This window comes from Homo sapiens, chromosome 3, assembly GCF_000001405.40.
Source record: "Homo sapiens chromosome 3, GRCh38.p14 Primary Assembly".
In the NCBI taxonomy this organism is placed as follows: domain Eukaryota; kingdom Metazoa; phylum Chordata; class Mammalia; order Primates; family Hominidae; genus Homo; species Homo sapiens.
The window spans coordinates 131,172,919-131,193,501 of record NC_000003.12 but is presented as its reverse complement, the minus strand read 5'-3'; the positions used below and the strand labels follow the sequence as shown (position 1 = coordinate 131,193,501).

The window sequence follows — 20,583 nt, the reverse complement described above, 5'->3', positions numbered from 1 at the left end:
AGTGCAGAACAAATGGAGAAATTATTCATGATATCCTGTAATATTTAATGCTAGCTCTTGCAGTGTCATTTTATGCCTAGAATAGAAGTTCTCAAACAGTGGTCCAGGAACCCCTGGAAGTCTCTGAGACTCAGGAAGTCCAAACTCTAACAATACCAATATGTTATTTGCCTTTTTCACTCTTGTCCTATCATTAATAGACAGTTTTCCAAAGGCTATATGGCATGTAATATCACAATAGACTAAATACAAAGCAGATATGAGACTACCACTGCCTTCTCTTAGGCTAGTCGCTAAAAAAAAGGTAAAAATGTAAACTAACACCATTTCTTTAAACAAATTTTTTATTTTGGAAAACATGGTTAACTTTCATGATAAGTATGCAATTTATGTTAATATGTATAGATTTATTACTGTTATTTTTAAGTGACTATTTTTAAATTCTGTTTTACTTTCTAATACGGTATATATCTATAGATATAACCATGTAAACAAAAGCTCTTCAGTGTCCCAAGCAATTTTTAAGCGTGTTAAGGTGTCCTGGTGCCAAAAAGTTTGAAAGCTGCTAACCTAGAGTTTATTCAGTAGCTGGGGACACCAGCCGATTACCACACCATCACACTGTTGTGCAACCATCACCACCATCCCTGTCCAGAACTTTTTATCTTCCCAAATGGAAACTCTGTACCATGAAACAATAACTCCCCATTACTTCCTTCCCCCAAGACCCTGACAACCACAGTTCTACTTTCTGTCTCTATGATTTTGGCTGCTATACGTAGCTCATTAAAGCAGAATTATGCAATATTTGTCCCCTTGTGTCTGGCTTATTGCATGTAGCATAATGTCTTCAAGGTTCATTACATGGTGGCATGTATCAGAATTTTCTTCCTTTTCAAGGCTGAATAATATTCCATTGTATGTATGTTATACTTTGTTTATCCATTCATCCATCAATGGACATTTGAGTTGTTTTCACCTTTTGGCTATGGTGAATAGTGCTGCTGTGAACATCGGTATACAAATATCTCTTTGAGACCCTGCTTTCAATTTTGGAGGGTATATAATCACATGTGGAACTGCTGGAAAATATGGTAATTCCATGTTTAATTTTTTGACGAATCACCATACTGTTTTATACAGCAGCTACCTCATCTTAACATTCCCACCAGCAGTGCATAAGGGTTCCAATTTCACCACATGCTGGCCAACATTTGTTATTTTGTTTTTTGATAGTTGCCATTCTAATGGGTGTAAAGTCGTATCTCATTGTGATTTTTAACTGCATTTTCCTAGTGATTAGTGATATGGAGCATCATTTTATGTGCTTATTGGCCATCTGTATATCTTCTTTGGAGAAATTTCTATTCAAATCTTTTGTCCATTTTTTAATTGGGCTGTTTGATTTGTTGTTGTTTTCAAGAGTTCTTTATATATTCTGGATATTAATCCCTTATTGGATATGTGCTTTGCAAATATTCTCTCCCGTTCTGTGGGTTGCCACTTTACTATGTTGATACTGTTCTTTGATACATAAAAATTTCTCATTTTGATGAAATCCATGTTTATGTTTTCTTTTGTTGCTGGTACTTTTGGTGTCATATCAATAAATTACTGTCATATCCAATGTCATGAGCTTTCTTCTATGTGTTTTTATAGTTTTAGGTTTTTGATCTATTTTAATTTTAATTTTTGGTATGAGGTAAGGGTCTAGCTTTATTCTTTTGCATGAGATATCCAGTCTTCCTAATATCATTTGTTGAAAAGACTGTCCTTAACTCTCTTTTTAAACATTGTATTTTTTTTATCAGAATTCAGAGTATTTGTAGTAGGCAGAATAATAACCCCCAAACAATGTTCACATCCTAATCCCCAGAGTTTTTGAATATGTTATCTTACATGGCAAAGCAGAGTTAAGATTGATAGAATTAAGATTGTTAATTAGCTGCCTTTAAAATAGGGAGATCATCCTGGATTACCTGGGTGGGCCCAATATAATTATAAGAGTCCTTAAAAATAGAAGAGGGCACAGCACAGAAGAGGGAGAACCAGAGAGATGGCAGCATCAGAAGGGCTTGGTCCAGTGTTGCTAGCTTTGAAAATAGAGAAAGGAGGGCACAAACCAGGAATGCAGGAGCTCTATGAGCTGGAAACAGCAAGGTCACTAGAGCCTCCAGAAGGAATGCAGGCCAGTGACATCTTGATTTTAGCCCAGTGAGACCAATCTTGGACTTTTAATCTCCAGAGCTGTAAGAGAGTCCATTTGCATTGCTTAAGCCACTAAGTTTGTGATTATTTGTTATAGCGGCAATGAGAAATCAATACAGTATTATTTTTTCTAGGTATTAAATGTATTTTTTGAAATTATCAAAGAAAAAACTGAAACTGAGTAGTTGCTGAACTTTAGATAATTGTTCCTTTACCACAAGAGATATTAGTTAATAACATACCTCTGTAAGGATAAGAATAATAATTATAACAATGTGAAGAGGCTGCAGTCATTGTATCTTTTATTGGCTATGTGTTTCACTTTTAGATACTATTAATTGATTTCCTGCTGTTAAAGAAGTCTGTACACTAAGGCTTTTTTCCAACTCACCTTTCCATACCTCCCAATTTTGGTGACATGTTATTTTTATGTTGTTAAATGTTGTAATATTTACAATAATTATATTTTGTTCTGAAATCATAATTTCTAGAGATCTTTTAGTCTTCAGAATTGGAAGATTATCTTCTAATTTTACCCTGGATTAAGAGATTCAATGCCCCACTAAACTTTTTACCATAGCGTATTAGTCCACTTGTATCACTATAATTATAAAGAATACCTGAGGATGGGTAATTTATAAAGAAAAGAGGTTTATTTTGGCTGAGGGTTCTGCAGGCTGTACAGCAAGTGTTGTGCCAGCGTCCACTTCTGGTGAGGGCCTCAGGAAGCTTAAAATCATAGCAGAAGGTGAAGGGGGAGTGGGTGTCACATGGTGAGACAGGAAGCAACAGAAGGGAACAAGAAGGGGGAAGAAGCTACACTCTTTTAAACAACCAGATCTCATCTGAACTCATCAAGTGAGAAATCACTCATTACTTTAGGGATGACATTAAGCCATTCATGAGGGATCTGCCTCTATGATCCAAATACCTCCCACCAGCCCAACCTCCAACATATTTGTCTGTTTATTTTCCATCGCCCCCAGTTGAATGGAGGCTCCATGGAGGCAGGGATTTGTGTCTGCTTTGTTCACTCCTGAATCCTCAGTGCACAGGACAGTGCCGGGCACATGTGAGTGCTCGAACAGTAGTTTTTGAGAGCATGAATAAGTTCATTTGCTGCTAAAGAATTTTTGCTTCTTTAAAAAAATAATTTCTAGCTCAAGTTTCCCAAAATGACTAGCAAAATACCTTGAACTTAGCAGTTTCTCAGTAAATATTTATGGATCTATACATCGATGTGTAAAGTTAAATACAATCACAAGGCTATATGTGATTAAAAATAGTAGAGATATAAAGTCTTACGGTAAGTGAGCAATTAGAAAAAACATTTCTGTTTGGACTGGTTGTGAAATATTCTGTAAGCCTTTAACAATAATGAAAATTAGTAAAATAGTAGTAAAATAATTATTAATCACTACATTCCAGCAACTTCTCTAAGTGCTTTTAAATTCCTCACAGTAATGCTATGACATCAATATCATTGTGATTTCCATCTAACAGATGAGGAAACTGAGGCACAGAGGTTTATGGCATTTGACCCAAATGCCATAGTGATTGGCAAAGATAGAATTATAACCCAGACAGTCTGCCTAAATAACCTGTTCTCTTGACTGCTATACAAAAATGAGATAAAAGGGTTTATGTTTTTAAAGTGAATAAAGGAAATGGTTTGGTTTTAATGTTTGTGTCTCCCCTAAATTGATATGTTGAAACGTAATCACCAATGTGATGATATTAGAAGTTGGAGCCTTTGAGGGGTGATGAGATTGTGAGAATGGAGGCTTCATGAATGGGATTAGTACCCTTATAAAAGATGCAGTGAGAAGTCATCATCTATGAACCAGAAAATAGGCCCTTGCCAGACACTGAATCTGCCAATGCATTGATGTTGGATTTCCCAGTCTCCAGAATGGTAATAAATAAATTTCTGTTGTTTATAAGCCACCTAGTCTATGGTATTTTGTTACAACAGCCTGAACAGACTAAGACAAGAAGTGTTTTAGTTTCCTAGGCCTGCTGTAATGAAGTCCCACAAATTTGGTGACTTAAAACAACAGAAATTTATTCTCTCACAATTCTGGAGGTCAGAAGTCCAAAATCAGGGCACTGGCAGGGTTGGTTCCTTCTGGAAGCTCTGAGGAAGAATCTGTTCCAGGCCTCCCCTCCTTCCTAGCTTCTGGTGGCTGTTGGCAATCCTTGGTCTTCCTTGGCTTGTAGGTGCATTACTACAATCTCTTCACATCATCTTCTTTGTATTAATATATCTCTCTATCTGTTTTATTTTCTCTTCTCTGATGAGGACTTGTCACTGGATTCAGGGCCCACTGTAATCCAGGGTGATCTCCCCCGAAGATCCTTACCTTAATTTTATCTGCAAAGATCTTTATTCCAAATAAGGTCACCTTCTGAGGTTCCAAGCAGACATATCTTTTGGGGGTCATAATTCAACTCACTACAGGAAGTAATGAAACACTTTGGGGTAGAGGAAAACTTCACTGTAGGCTCTATAGGGCAGAACCAAGTCTGTCTTGCTCACTACTGGATTCCCTTTTCTCAGCAGAATGGATGCCTGATAAATATTTGTTGAAGATTGACTGTTGATGAAAGATAAAAGTGGTGCTCAGGGAATGCTTTTTCTAAAGGATATGAAAGGCAATTGCCTAGGAGCAGGAAAATCAATTAGGATTGAAAAGTGCAAGGATATAATGGTACTTACAAAGTACAAGGATAACAGCAATGTAAAATTCCTAAAAGAAGGGACTCCAGAATTCCTAAAAGGAAGCCCAGAAAGAAGAAAACAGGTAAATTTGAAGAGATTTCTACAGAGCCACATAAGATAACCACTTTTGAAGCTCAAAGAGGCAAACTGCCACTTAAGAAAATAAAGTTTATTATACTAGGTTAGTGCAAAAGTAATTGCGGTTTTTGCCATTACTTTCAATGGCAAAAATTGAAATTGCTTTTGCACCAATCTAATAATAAATCTTTTAGAGGAAAAAGAAATACCACTGACTATTTTCTTATCACCTTAAAATCATACAATTTAATCACAAAGGAGCCAAAATAAATGGACATTGTTTAGGCCACACAAGCACTTTGGAGACATGAACTCACAAAATGCACTTCTATGTACCAGGCTATGTAAGAAACAGCTCATTACACAACTACACACAAGAGACACACTCACACTATGGCACTCCAGGCCAGCTCTAGTCCCAGTGTCAAGCCTCTATCTGCCTGTGTACCCTTCATTAACTCAGGGTTTGTTTATTTGCTCCTAGATGTCACTAATGACTGTTAGCTATTTTACCTGACCATCTCTAATTAAATTGTATTTTCTCTTCAGTCTTGTAAAATCAGCTGGTTTGAACACTTCTGACTCATTAACATGATCAACTGGTTTTTAATAAATGTAAGCTTTGTCTTTCACTGTGGGAAGGAATTATTATTAGGTAAACTCTGAAATACTTTATTTTCAATCTGTGTGACTTTTGGGGCTTTCACTTGCTACACTATGGTCTGAGGCAGCATAATAGTATCACAGTGTTTGGTCCTAATATGCTCTGGAAGTAGGACTTCAACCAAAACACCTGTACTCATTTCTTCTATTTAGTGGAAAGCTGTCACAGCATAGAAGAGAAACCTCTGAAAAAAAATTGCAGATGGGGCTGGGTCCAGTACAACAATATCTCCTTCATCTTTTACCTCTTTGCACTTCAGTGTCCTTCTCTATGAAAAAGGAGAAGAGTTATTGACACATGTTGTCAGTATTTGAGAATTTCAGTAAACCAATCCCTCATTCCAAGGAAGAACTGGAAAATGAGGGAAATAGAATCTTTTGTGAGTTTTAAGTTGAAATATAAGATCAACATTTAATAGTAGTTATAGTGATTTTTGAAACAGGTTTCCCACCAGAATCACCTGTGGAGCTTTTTAAAAATTTAGATACTTAGATTTTACTCTGGAACAGTGCTGCCCAATAAGACTTTCTTCGATGATGCAATGTTCTAGAAGTATGCTGTCCAACACAGTATCCACTAACCACGTGTAATTATTAAGCACTTGAAATGTGACTAATGTGACTGAGGAACAGATTTTTAATTGTATTTAACTTTAATTAATTTAAAGTAACCACATGTGGCTAGTGGATTTCAAATCAGACAGCATACTTCTAGACAAATTGCTTTCAGTGTGTGCTCCTCAAACGCACAGCACCAGAAACAAGCACAGACTTTTCCTTGTCTTCAAAATCTATGCTATGAAAAAAAGGCCTGCTGAAATTTCTTCATATTCCAACTAAAGGAGAAAATAATGGAAGTAATTCAAAGCAATTTGTCTAAAACCAGGAGTTCACTTATACATACAGCCTTTGAGGTAGAGTGGATAACAAATCCCTATGTATCAGGAAAATTACCTGATTTTATTATAAACCCAAAGCAGAGGATTACATTAAAATAAGCCACAAGTATTACCTAAATATTTCCATTGCAAAAGTCATGGTTATGCCTACCAAGCTCTATATTTTAATCTATTGAGTTTGGCCTAAATCTCAAATGAGACTACAATGGAAAAATGGATACATATTCTGGTCCTTCTTATGCTCCTTAGCACAAAATATATTTACACTCATAATGTACTTAGAGAAAATAGATGGAAATTTTAACTGCTAGTGTATGGGCTCTAAACGGCTGGCAAAGGAGCGTCTTCTAAGGAAAGAACTTTGTCCCAGGTTCTACTTCTGGATATAACAGTGGTATCCCTGATGCACCAACAGGAGGGCGCCCATTTAGAAATGCCTTCCTTGGCGTGAATTAGGTCATGAACAGTTTGCTGCACTCTCCCTACATTATCTTGATACACATTTGTAGGGCCTTGGCTCTAATTCTGGGGGCTGTCTACAGACCTGACAAAGATGATAATTTATTTTGGTACTAAGTTCACTGGCCCAGATAGGCATCATTAAGACCATCATTTGATATGTAGAACTAATCAGCCAAAGTGATTTTATATTTTTCATAAACGCAAAAACAATAGCAAATAAAAATACTGTATTCTAAATTATTCTTAATTCATATAGTGAAGGTGTTTATGGGCTAAAATTATAAGGTTTCCTGGTGATTAAAGTTGAAATACTATTGATCATCATTTCAAAGGTTTTATGTGAAACTTGAGAAAATATTGCAACTTGCTTTGACACTGATTGTACTCCTTTAGTAAAAAATTGCTGTGTACTTTCTGTTTCACGTGCTGTGCTCAGCTTTGTGTATCATCTTATTTGTTCCTCACTAAACCCCTGCAAAATGGGTGTGATTATTCCCATTATACAGATGAGAAAACTGAGGCTTGGGAATATTAAATTTTTTGTCCAGGTCCACATAGTTGGTAAATGCCATAAGTAAGGAAAAGACAAAGTCTGGCCCCAAATCTCTTTAAAGTATACCAGTGGCCATCAGTTTAGTGGATTTTTCTGAAATGTGTACGAATATTCCAGAAATTTTAGTCATTCTTACTTTGAACATATTGGAGGTACAGTTACTTTAAGTCAGAGAAAACTACTGAATTATAGACTGTTATCAAAATACTCTTTTACCATCTCAAGCATATGGAATGGCTCAAAGGAACCACTATCTATGAATCATCTGTGGAAGTCTGCTTCTCAGGTCTTTCAAGAATTTGATGATTAGCTGCCAAGCATGCAGTGAACCCAGCGCCTCAAACTGTAAGATATTGGGGATCAGTTGAGCATTTGAGTTGGTGGGGGACAGTAGGGAATAGCATTTCTGTCCAATATGGGATTCCTCTATGGGAAATCTTTGAACCAGTAAAAGCTGGTTCAAAGCCACCCATTGGGCTGAATGAGGCTGTCTCAGAGCTCCAGTGCTGTCTGAGACTCTTCTTGCCCAGTCTGTTTTCCTTCCTGCTTGCCTTTCACAGGTGTCAGACCTGCATCATAGTCTGAAGGTTCTCTGCCTACTCCCAATCTTTCTATCAGTTTTCTTTCAACAGACTTTACCCTATTACAGCTCTTATACTTCTAACTCTGTCCTATTATCTGCTTTCCAGAGGATCCAGTCAACACAACCACTAAAAAAATATTTTCACGTAATGGCCCTACTAGGCCTGTTATTAAAAAATAGTGATTCAACCAATATTTGCTAACGTTCTGTCATATGGAAAGTGCTGTCATGAATTCCATGGGGAGACTAACTGATACAAACAAAAGAAACAAGTGTGCACCTGTAATACAGACTATACTTCATACAACCCTTTAATTCCCAGTAGTTCTTAGGCAGGACACATCCCAAGGAGCCTTGGGAGGATTACTCTGGTGACCCTTCTATTAAAGGATGGCTGGCCATTTCTATTAAATTAAATACTATTCTATAGTTACTGCAGAAGAACAAACCATATTTTTAAACTGTTGGTGACTTACCTAAAATATTATTTAAATGTAGGGGTATCCATAAAGAAAGATGCAACAGCTAGGGGACTCAAAAAGTATGCATGGAGGATTCTATTTCCTTATTTCAGAAATTCCTTTATTTTTCATTTTTCCAGTATTCGTCTAGTGAAATTAGATTACAGTCTCCTTTAAGAAGAAAGAGAAAAATTTTATAGATGAACAGTGATGCACACAACTTATCCTCTCCTGGCAACTTGTTATTCTACTGCTTCCCCAACTGAATTAATCTCTGCGTGAAATGTATGCTGTTTAAGATAAAAAGCATTCGTGTTCTTAATAGGATTTTTCCCTAGGTTTAGTCATTCATTCAGCAAATACTTAGCAACACCAACTCTGAACTAGTTACTGTATAAGTAGGTAGGAATAAAATGGTGAGCAAGACGGACATGGTCCATACTCTTTTGGGTTTAGAGTCTAGCTCAGTCCTTTTCAAACTTTAATGTGCCTACGAATCACTGAGATGTTGTTAAAAATGCATCTTCTGATCTAGGAAGTCTGAAGTGAGTCCGAGATTCTGCATTTCTAACAAATTCTCAGGATGCTACTGATTGTAATCCACAGGTCACACTTTGAGTAACAAAGAACTAGTTTATTGACTCTAAGTTGCTGTGGTATGATACATTCCTATACTGTGAGTACTTCCTCTGACATTTTTGAATCAATGAATATTGCCAATATAATGGAAAATACATGTTTTTACCATGATGCCTGCTGGATGGAATTTTGAGCTGAGAGAGCAATGATTATAGGAATATGATTTACTGAGAGCAAAAAGTAAGAGGCGAGGCATCGAATGACATCATGATGGCACCAAAGAATCGTGGAGTTCCTAGGGACAGGTAAGAAGATGGCCTCTGCGATTATAAAAAGTCGAGAAACAACAGATGCTGGCAAGGCTGTGGGGAAATAGGAATGCTTTTACACTGTTGGTGGGAATACAAATTAGTACAACCATTGTGGAAGACAGTGTGGTGATTCCTCAAAGGCCTAGAACCAGAAATACCATTTGACCCAGCAATCCCATTACCAGTATATACCCAAAGGAATATAAATCATTCTGTTATAAAGATACATGCACATGTATGTTTATTGCAGCACTATTCACAATAGCAAAGACATGGAATCAACCCAAATGTCCATCAGTGATAGACTGGATAAAGAAAATGTGATACATATACACCATGGAATACTATGCAGCCATAAAAAGGAATGAGGTCATGTACTTTGCAGGGACATAGATGGAGCTGGAAGCCATTATCCTCAGCAAACTAACACAGGAACAGAAAACCAAACACCACATGTTCTCACTTATAAGCTGGAGCTGAGCAATGAGAACACATGGACACAGGGAGGGGAAAAACACACACTGGGGCCTGTCATGGGGCCAGGGGGAGGGAGAGAATCAGGATAAATAGCTAATGCATATGGGGTTGAATACCCAGGTGATGGGTTGACAGGTGCCATAAACCACCATGGCACATGTTTACTTATGTAACAAACCTGCACATCCTGCACACATATCCCAGAACTTTAAATTTTATTTAATTTTAAAAAAAGAAGTTGGCCTGTGAACATGTTAGCATAGTCAGGGCAATGACCTACTCTCCTCAAACATGGCACAGAGCTAAAGGGGCCAAGGGAAACATTTTAAAATTTTTTCTAAAATCTGCTCTTTCTTAATCGGTAGTCACCTTTCAGCCCTCTCAAGTATACCACTAAAATTTTTCATTTGGGATGTCAAAAACACACAAAGGTTGGTCCTGTTCAAAATGTATAATCTCACAAATAAAAGGAGGCTAAATTTATTTGACTAGACACCATATGCTCATAAGCAACTGCTTATGCAAATTGTCAAATTATTATATCTTAAAATGGATTTGTGGGAGGTAGAGGGTGGAAGGAAAGAAGCAGGTTAATTTAGCTTTATGCTATTTGAAGCCAAGAAAACAGGTCATGTGGAATTGAGCTGGAAGAAGGGTTGAGTTTTTTCATTTCTTCTAGAGTCAAAAGAGAAAATCAATCTGAGATATAAAAAAGGGTAAAGTCTCTTTGATTTCTACAACCCAAAATGCCCAGGCGCCAATGCATGCAATGAAAGACTGCAGGCATCTTAAACTCACCTACAAATATTTACTTTGCCAGCTAATCTTCAATAGTAAGAAGAACTCCCATTAATAATTTAAACGAGCCTTGGCCAGAAAAAAAATTCAGACAAATGAAGGGGTTAGCAGGAAAGGATCATCAAGGTTAGCTGTGAAGGTAGGTAGGTATGTTTATACTACACATTCATATAAATATATCCCCACATGTGGATGCCAGTGCACAGAACAATGAGATGGGTTTGCAAGAAACCCATCCTGCAAGATCAGAGACAAGTCTACCTGGTGAGTTATAAATGCTGGCGACTTCACATACTTCCCTGAAGACAGAAGTGGAAAATTGACGATAAAGGAGAGAATAAGTCAAATTCATTATACTGCTCACACTTATACACACTATTATGAAATGCAACGATCATTTTGGATCTTTTTAGTGGTTTCCTATTTTTCCTTTTTTGAGTTTTTTAGAAGCAAGAGAAAAAGAGAAGTCAGTTGAAAATGTTGTTACTGATGAGTGAAAAAGATATTAGGTTTTGCTGCCATAGTTACTTGCCAGAAAGTTCTTTTTTCTTTTCTTTTTTTTTTTTTCTGGAGATGTGCTATTTCACTTCAAAAAATGAAAGAGTTTGACAGGTGATTCTAGGGGATCTCTCACTTACAACAATTAGTATCTGGTACTGAGGTGGCCCTTAATGTCACAAAACAAAATAGGAAGTTCCTTTATAAAAATCAAAGAATATTAATTAAAATGCCTATCATAAATTTCTAAATTAAAGTCTGGCCTAAACACCAAAGCAAGCTATTTCAATCACTTCAACAAAAAAAACTAGCATATGAATCAAAGATGGTGGTTATTTGACTGGAAGCAGACATAATCCAATATAGCTGTATTAGTTTTCTATGTCTACTGTGACAAATGACCACAAATTTTGTGATTTAACATAACACAAAGTTATCTTTTCTTTTTTTTTTTTTTTTTTTTTGAGGCGGAGTCTCGCTCTGTCGCCCAGGCTGAAGTGCAGTGGTGCGATCTCAGCTCACTGCAAGTTCTGCCTCCTGAGTTCACGCCATTCTCCTGCCTCAGCCTCCCAAGTAGCTGGGACTACAGGCGCCCGCCACCACACCCTGCTAATTTTTTGTATTTTTAGTAGAGATGGGGTTTCATCGTGTTAGCCAGGATGGTCTCCATCTCCTGACCTTGTGATCTGCCCGCCTTGGCCTCCCAAAGTGCTGGGATTACAGGCGTGAGCCATTGCGCCCAGCCAACACAAAGTTATCTTTTAGTTCTGTAGATCAGAAGTCTGACATGGATCTCACCAAGCTAAGATACACTTGTTGGCAGGGTGCCTTCCTTTCTGGGGGATCCAAGGAGGAAGAATACATTTCCTTCCCTTTTCTAGCTTCTAAAGGTCACCTGCTTTCCTTGGCTCATTGTCTCCTTCCTCCATCTTCAAAGCTAGCAATGTTGGGCCAATTCCTTGTCTCACTGCCATCTCTCTGGTTCTCCCCTGTCTGCCTCCCTCTTCTACTTCTAAGAACCCTTGTGGCACTGAGAGCATCCAAATAATCAGAATAATCTCCCTATCTGATTAGCAACCTTAGTTCCATCTGTAACCTTAATTCATTCCCCTCTGTCATGTAACTTAACATATTCACAGGTTCCAAGGATTAGGACAGCCTTAGGACATCAGGATTTTAAGGACATCTTTGGAGCCCATTCTTCTTCCTACAATAGTAACTTTCGTTAGCTGGCAGAAATGAGGAGCTAAGAAAGACTGTAAATATTGCCCTTACAAATATAACCCTGTCCTCCAGCAGTTTTAGCAAGGCTTCATATGGCCCCAATATAGAATTTTACATATTATAGACTGAATTAAGAGATTCAAGAACCAACTTAATAAATGCCTCACATATATTGCACATTTGAACACCTCTGAAATGGAGATGCATCTTAAAATAGACGGCATATCATAATTTCATGGACAGTAGTTTTATTAATGATATATAATATAATGATTCATCTCAAAATTGATGGTGTCTTTGATTCTGTAAAGTACAATATGATATTTCTCAATTGTATTGGTCAGGCTAGGCTACACTTGCTGCTGTAACAAATACGCCTGCTGACCTAGGTAACAAGGGATTTATAGCTCATTCCTTTTTTAATTATATTTTGCTTTTTAGGTTTAATCAGGAAATTTAAAACTAAATAAAATATTGTTTTTGTCATCAGTTTTATGATAGAATATGAAGAAATAAGCCTATTTTATAATAGTTCATTTTGGTACAAGTCAATATATTATTTTGTAAAAGAATAAAGGTATTTGTTTCTCTATCTAATTGGAACATAAATTTCACATGATTCAATTATATATTTGGGTTTTGTTCATTACCCTAATTTCAGAGTCAGGTAACTAAGATAGACTGTTGTGGTAAGATCAGTAGTGTTCACCCATATCTGATTCTCTCCTCCTTGGGCACAGGAAAGACTGTACTTCCCAGGCCCTTTGTGGAAAGTTGGGCCACATGACTAGTTTTAGTCAATGAAATTGCAAGGAAGTAATTTTCAAGCTGAAGAATTTATGTGTGGGTGTGCTACTTCCAATCTACTTCTGCTGCTTGTGGGAACATTGAAAGCCAAATGCTGAGATGGTGGTGGTATAAAATAGAAGAAGCCTTGGTCCTTAGTCACTGCACAGGGAATATCTGCCCTGAGAGATTCTTTCCCACATAGGACTTTATAGGAATGAGCTATAAATCCCTTGTTACCTAGGTCAATAGGTGTATTTGTTACAGCAGCAAGTGTAGCCTAGCCTGACCAATACAATTGAGAAATATAATATTGTACTTTACAGAATCAAAGACACCATCAATTTTGAAATGAATCATTATATTATATATCATTAATAAAACTACTGTCCATGAAATTATGATATGCCGTCTATTTTAAGATGCATCTCCATTTCAGAGGTGTTCAAATGTGCAAAACTGTGTATTTTAGACTGGATGAAATATGGTATATGTCTAATTGTAAGGAAACCTAGAAAATTTTAAGACTTGACTCATTTTCCAATAAGAATATCAAACTTGAATGTTGAACTATTAGGAGTATAAGTCAAACAGATAAATTTCTATTTATAATACATTGTTAATTTAGTAACAAATTTAAACTTATGTTCCCATATTATATAAAATATTTAGAGCTACTGCTTTTTTCCCACTCTGAAATTTCATGAAATACAATTATTTAAACTCCTCACATGCATACAGACTAAGTGTCCTTGTCATGACTATGAGTTGTGCAACTCCTTACTTCCAGCTCATATTTTTCAGATAAAGCTCTCCTTGAAATCTGCATAGGAAACTGTCAGTACAAGTTCTGTCCTTTTCTTAGCCTATCTGTGCTATTGTCACAAAATACCACGGACTGGGTAATTTATAAAGAACATAAATTTATTTCTCACAGTCCTGGAGGCTGGGAAGTCCAAGATCAAGGCAACAGCAGGTTCGGTTGTGTGGTAAGGGCTGCTCCCTGCTGCCAACATGGCGTATTATTGCTTGATCCTCTGCAGTGAAGGAACACTGTGTCCTCACATGGTGGAAGGTAGAAGAACAAGAGGGATGAACTCACTCCATCAAGCCCTTTGATAAGGGCACTTAATCCCATTCATAAGGAGGGAGTCCTCATGAGTGAATTGCCTCTTAATGACCCCACCTCTTAATACTATCACACTGCCAACAACTGAGTTTTTGAGAGCAGACATTCAAGCCATAACAATCTTAAAGTACAAGTACAGTCATGCACTGCATAATGACGTATCAGTCAACAACGAACCACATATACAGTTGTGGTCCCATAAGATAATAATTAAACTAAAAAATTCCTATTACCTAGTGACGCAGTGTAAACACACATACTGCACTGTCAGTCATATAAAAGTATAGGGCATACAAGCATGTACAATATAATCATAATTATGTTACTACTTTACATATTTACTATACTATACTATTATCATTATTTTATAGTATACTCCTTCTACTTATTTAAAAAATGTTAACTGTAAAACCTTCAGGAGATATTCCAGAGGAAGGCATTGTTATCATAGGAGGTGACAGGTCCCTGCATGTTATTGTCCATGGAGATCTCCCAGTGGGACGAGATATGGAGGTGAAAGGCAGAAGGCCTAGGCTAATATGTGTGTTCGTGACTTCGTTTTTAACAAAGAATTCAAAAGTTAAAAGAATTAATGTTAAAAATAGAAAATGCTTATAGAATGATATAAAAAAGAAAATATTCTTGTACAGCTGTACAATGTGTTTGTGTTTTAAGCCAAGTGTTATAAAATAATCAAAAAGTTTTAAAATTAAATTGTATAAAGTAAAAAAGTTACAGTAAGCTGAGGTTAATTTACTGTTGAAGAAAAATATTTTCAAAATAAATTTAGTATAGCCTAAGTGTTATATATACAGTGCTTATATATAAAGTCTACAGTAGTAAACAGTAGTGAATATCCTAGACCTTCACATTCACTCACCACTCACTCACTGACTCACCCATGGCAACTTCCAGTCCTGCAAGCTCCATTCATAAGTGCCCTATACAGGTGTACCATCTTTTATATTGTGTTTTTACTGTCTATTTTCTGTGTTTAGATATACAAATACTTACCACTGTGTTACAATTGCCTACAATATGCAGGACAGTAATATGCTGTACAGGTTTGTAGTGCAGGAGCAACAGGCTATACCATGGAGCCTAGATGCGCATTAGGCTATAACATCTAGGTATGTGCAAGTATACTCTCTGATGTTTGCTTAAGGATGAAATTGCCTAATGACACATTTCTCAGAACATATTCCTGTCATTAAGCAGTACATGACTGTATTCACGTGAGTGATATTTGAATAGGTTTTTTGTATGTTGTTGTTCATCCTGTGTCTGTAATTTTTATAATATAACTACTTACTATTCTTTTTAAAGTGCTTTCCAAAGACTTGTTAACAAAGACATCCCAGTTTTTCAACCTACGCTAGGGCAACAGTCAGGTTCACAACCTCAGTACTGTAAGGCAGCATAGGATATGTTCTAAGAAAGGAGAAAAATGATCAGGGAGATTAGTCAAAGAGTCCTGGTAGGAGACATCTTCTCACGTCGAATCAAGGAGGACGTCTTTGAGCTGGGTCTTAAAAGATAAGTCCGATTCTAACAAGTAGACAAGAGGTGATAAGCACCATCTAACCATTCTATATCTGTTTTGGTAGTAATAGCTCCTGTCACTGATTGAGCGAAATACAGTAACAGACATGTATGTTACTGTATGTTAACATATGTGTTATATCAAATACATGTTGTCTCACTTAATACAGTAAATTTTTCAGATTGGTATTACTAACTGCATTTTATTGATGAAAAACAAATTTGAAAACTGCAGATGACAGAAATTATGTTCCTTAAAATCACAGTGCAATCACATGGGAAAGTCAGGACTCAAAGGCAGATCTGAAAGATTCCCTTTCATATGGCAGCTTAGCTTTCTTTGGCCATCATAACAATGTTCTCCAAGTGGTAAGCACATAAGTATGGAGCACAACTGTGAAACCTGCATGCATGGAAAATAAATTCATCAACTAAAGGAAAACCATACCGTGGTATATGCAGAGCACTGTCTGAAACACACATTCTATAAGGTTTTACTCTATTACATTTGTTTCTATCCAACCTTAAAGCTATGATTGATACTTATTTAATTTTCTGCTTAATTGATTTGTTCCAAATCTGAGCCATGATGACCCAAGCAAGGCCACTTAAGGATGCCCTCTGCCTTATTAGCATGACCTTTAGTATAATAACTACTATATGATTTATATTTAGCTAAGTGATGATCCATGGGATGACATATAGCCTTCCCAGGCGGTTTACTTATTTTGAGATGTCCGTGGGTGCTGGTTTTCCCCATGAATACCTGACGTTCTGGGACTAATTTTCCCCCTATTTATATTACGTTTGCTTAGGATGCCATGTCAAAGTGGCTTGTTGGGCAGGTGTTAGACAGCACCCAGCTTAATTTTTCAAATTGGATATAATCTTTGAAATTTTAGTTAGTGACTTGTCGTACAGAAGGAACACTCTAAATTATTAAATATGCCTCAGGGTGGAGAATCAGCACATCTTCATTCAGTATTAGATTCATTCTAATTATCCTCTAGAACTCAGAAATTAGTGAGAACTGCAGGCATCTTTATTCCTGAGAGCAAGTATTAGAGTCAGGTGGAAACACTATTATGAAATGCAAATGTAACTCAGTGGAATAAGTGACAATTATGAAATAAAACCACCATCAATTTATCTTTATAAATCAAGTCTTGAAGACATCTAAAGCTCCAGAAGTGACGGAAGATCTAGGAATGTGGAAGTAACCCCTGGCATTTGTTTGGTCTTCTTTTCTGAGAACTAAAGAGCCAGGCAGCTCCACCAGCTTCTCCATCTTGGGCTGGGCATTGGAGTCTGAGCTATCACCTTTTGTTGTATTATGCTCCAGTGGCCTTAGTGAGCACTAGGTCCTTTTAGATCTGCTGGTAGGGCTCTCTGCTACTCAGATGTGTGCACCTCCACCCCCAACTATAAAGACTGAAGAGAGAGGAGCTAAAAGATCCCTGTCCCTTATCTCCAAATAGCCAACTTTCCTCCTTGGAAAGGACCCCAAAGCTTTGTTAACACTCCTTGTGGAAGACAACGTTGTTCAGCTGATGCTAGAAGAAAGTCTCAAACCCTGTGATCACCTTCTGGATTAAGGAGTTTGTGTCCCAGGTGATACCCAAAGATCTTCCCAATTGTTTTCTATCTCCATGACTTCACTCACATCGTTCTTGGCCATTCATTAGCTAACACATAGACAGCTAAGCATTACATTGTTTCTTCTGAATATTTTAATATTTTTTTAATTTATCAATTTTATTTAGGTATAATTTATATACAATAAAATGCACTAATTTAAAGTATTGAGTCCAATGAGTTTTGACAAATTTACACATCTGGGTAGCCATCACCACAATCAAGATAGCAAACTTACAAACTTTTCTATCACAAAAAAAGGTTTCCATGTGCCCTTTTAGAGTCAACTCCCACCACTACCACCCCCAGGCAACCACTGGCCTAATTTCTATTACTATAGATAAGTACTTCTGGTTCCAGAACTCATAGAAATGGAATCATTCAGTATGAACTCTTTTACGTGTGGCTTCTTTCACTTCACATAATTTTAAAAGTATTTATCTATATTGTTGTATATATTGGTGTGTGTTCCTTTTCAGTGTCAAAGAGTATATATTCCATCAACAAACTACAAATTTGCTTATCCTTTCACCTATTGATGGACACTTGACTTGTTTTTTATTTTGAGTACTTATGAATAAAACTTCTAGAAACATTTGTGAACAGGTCTTCTTGTAGATGCATTTTCAGATAACTATCTAAAAGTGGAATTACTGAGTGAGTAAAGGTTTTCTTTCAGATAACTATCTAAAAGTGGAATTAGTGAGTGAGTAGAGGTTTTCTTTTTAAAATTAAAACAATAAAAACATAACATATTTAATTAGCAAAGTTCAAATCACTTTATTTCCACTTGGACATTTAAAAAGAAGAGGTGATATCGTAAGTCATAGACAGCCCAGAACTGTAAAGGGCATGTGGGGCTCCTACAGGCAAGCAAAGCACAACCACCTACAGGTCTGAGCTATCTCTGAGCATTGGGCTCAGTGATTGCTTAAAGAGTGGCTGAACAGGAAATGAAGAGGTGACAGCTGGTCAGGATGTGGGTAAGCAGCCAAGGCCTACTTCACTGCATTCTCCACATCTGAATGGTGGGGTAGGGAGTCATGCTCCTTGTAGACCCAGGCCCTAGAGTCTCAGGCTATTCCAGCTTTGGAAAAAACACTGCTCTGAAAGTCAGCTGTGAGTTGCTAAAAAATAAAATATAAAACAAATGCTAGAGTACAAAGAAGTTCCTGGCAAAAATTAATGTGCAAGATATCATTAGCATTACATATAAGAAGTTAAATGGGGATAATTTCTTTAACATTCCAGTTGTACTTTCTCATTTGGTTATAATGGTTACCCATGACTTTCACTAGATTAAATCAGCTATAGTCAACTAATGCATATCAAATGTAAATAATAAGTCTTATCCTGTCTTTCTTCTCTGCAACTAACTCCTCATATGCCAGAGGGAATTGTCCAATTCAACCTCAAAGACTAATTAAATGTTTGGTGTAGGAGCTTTGAAAGAATGACTGTATAATTTTATTTTACATATACATGCCAAATAAAAAATAAATACAAATTTCCTTTGGGTGCTGAAAGTTTGCAGTCTAATCTTCTAAAAGGCAAAAAATAATTAACCACTTCAGAGTTCATCAACAAATTAAGTCTCATGTTTCAAAATTTCACTTCAATTAATCTCTGTGATCACTAATTTTCTGGTAGTTGCCCACCATTCTAATGATTTGTCAAACCCAAAGGTTGCATTTTCTTTTTTTCTTCTTTTTTTACTTTTATTTTAGGTTCATTATAGCACTATTCACAATAGCAAAGACATAGAATTGACCTAAATGCCTATCAAGGCTGTATTTTCATAGTTCTAAGTTTATTTTTTGAATTTAATATTAAGAAAGAATAGCATTTAGAAGGTATGAATTTACAGACAGGAAAAAATAACGGAAATGTTTAAAGTATTTTACAAGGCATCTGATCCACCTAAAACTATTATGTATTTTTTCTAATCTGATAGTTTATCATAGAGGCCTAAATAGTGTTTACATTACAACATGAACAAAGTGGTCAAAGAAGTAGATTTGACGATTTCCAGTCTGGCTGGTAAATCAACACACTGTCTACCATACTGAAACCTCCATGACAAAAGACAAAATGAGAGGTAAGAAGGACATAGCTTGGGTTTTCCATAGTAGCTGGAACCTGTGGTCAAGGCTAGCTTGGGAGTAATTTGGCTATAACAGTTCACAAAAATTAGCAAAGAGACACATGACAAAGACTCTGCCTTTTGAAAGTCCAGTTCCTTTGACATGTTTTTCTGTTTCTTACAAGTCAATTGCTTCTACCTACCACCACCGAAAACACACACTTTGGGGGAAATGGAAAGGGTGGTATACTAGATAGAAAGCAGGAACTCTGTGGTCCTTAAGCAAACCACTTAATGTCTTTGGCTTCTCATCTATGAAATGCAGTATTAAGTACTTTTCCTATTTGAAACCAGGAAGAAGCTCAGACTTTTTGGTCCTAGACCACCCATTCAATATCCTGTCCTGGGGCTTCCTATGCATAAATAGTGATGGCTCTGTCCTCCAGCAGAGCACAAGCCACAGGTATTGGGAGCTACATATTGCCTAACTTTCTCAGCTTTCTGTCACTGGAAAAGGGTCCGATCCAGACCCCAAGAGAGGGTTCTTGGACCTCGCACAAGAAATAATTCAGGGCAAGTTCATAGAGAAAAGTGGAGGCAAGTTTATTAAGAAAGTAAAGAAACAAAAGAGTGATTACTCCATGAGCAGAGCAGTGGCATGAGCTGCTCGACTGAATAGACTTATAGTTGTTTTTTGATTATATGCTAAACAACAGGTGGATTATTCATGAGTTTTCCAGGAAAGGGGTGGGAAACTCCCAGAACTGAGGATTCATCCTACTTTTAGACCATATAAGGTAACTTCCCATGTCATCATGGCATGTGTAAACTGTCACGGTGCTGGTGGGAGTGTCTTTTAGCATGCTAATGCATTATAATTTACATATAATGA

At 36.8% G+C, this 20,583-nt stretch overlaps 1 protein-coding gene across 58 annotated transcripts in view; it reads right to left on the bottom strand.

Annotated features, from left to right (window-relative positions):
- The window catches only part of NEK11 (NIMA related kinase 11), a 323,589-nt gene that overhangs the window by 156,964 nt on the left and 146,042 nt on the right, over positions 1-20,583 (bottom strand). For 3 of the 58 annotated variants that reach the window (NM_145910.4, XM_017007222.2, XM_047448979.1), the window contains one exon: positions 18,364-18,735. The exons of 51 other annotated variants lie outside the window; for them this stretch is intronic. In NM_145910.4, coding sequence (NP_665917.1) covers positions 18,722-18,735 — 14 coding nt within the window. In that variant the 3' untranslated portion in view covers positions 18,364-18,721. Of the gene's footprint in view, positions 1-8,728; positions 8,801-15,481; positions 16,377-18,363; positions 18,736-20,583 lie in introns of those variants that run through there. 4 more of the 58 variants (XM_017007221.2, NM_001321223.1, XM_017007220.2 and 1 more) reach the window with 3 other exon arrangements.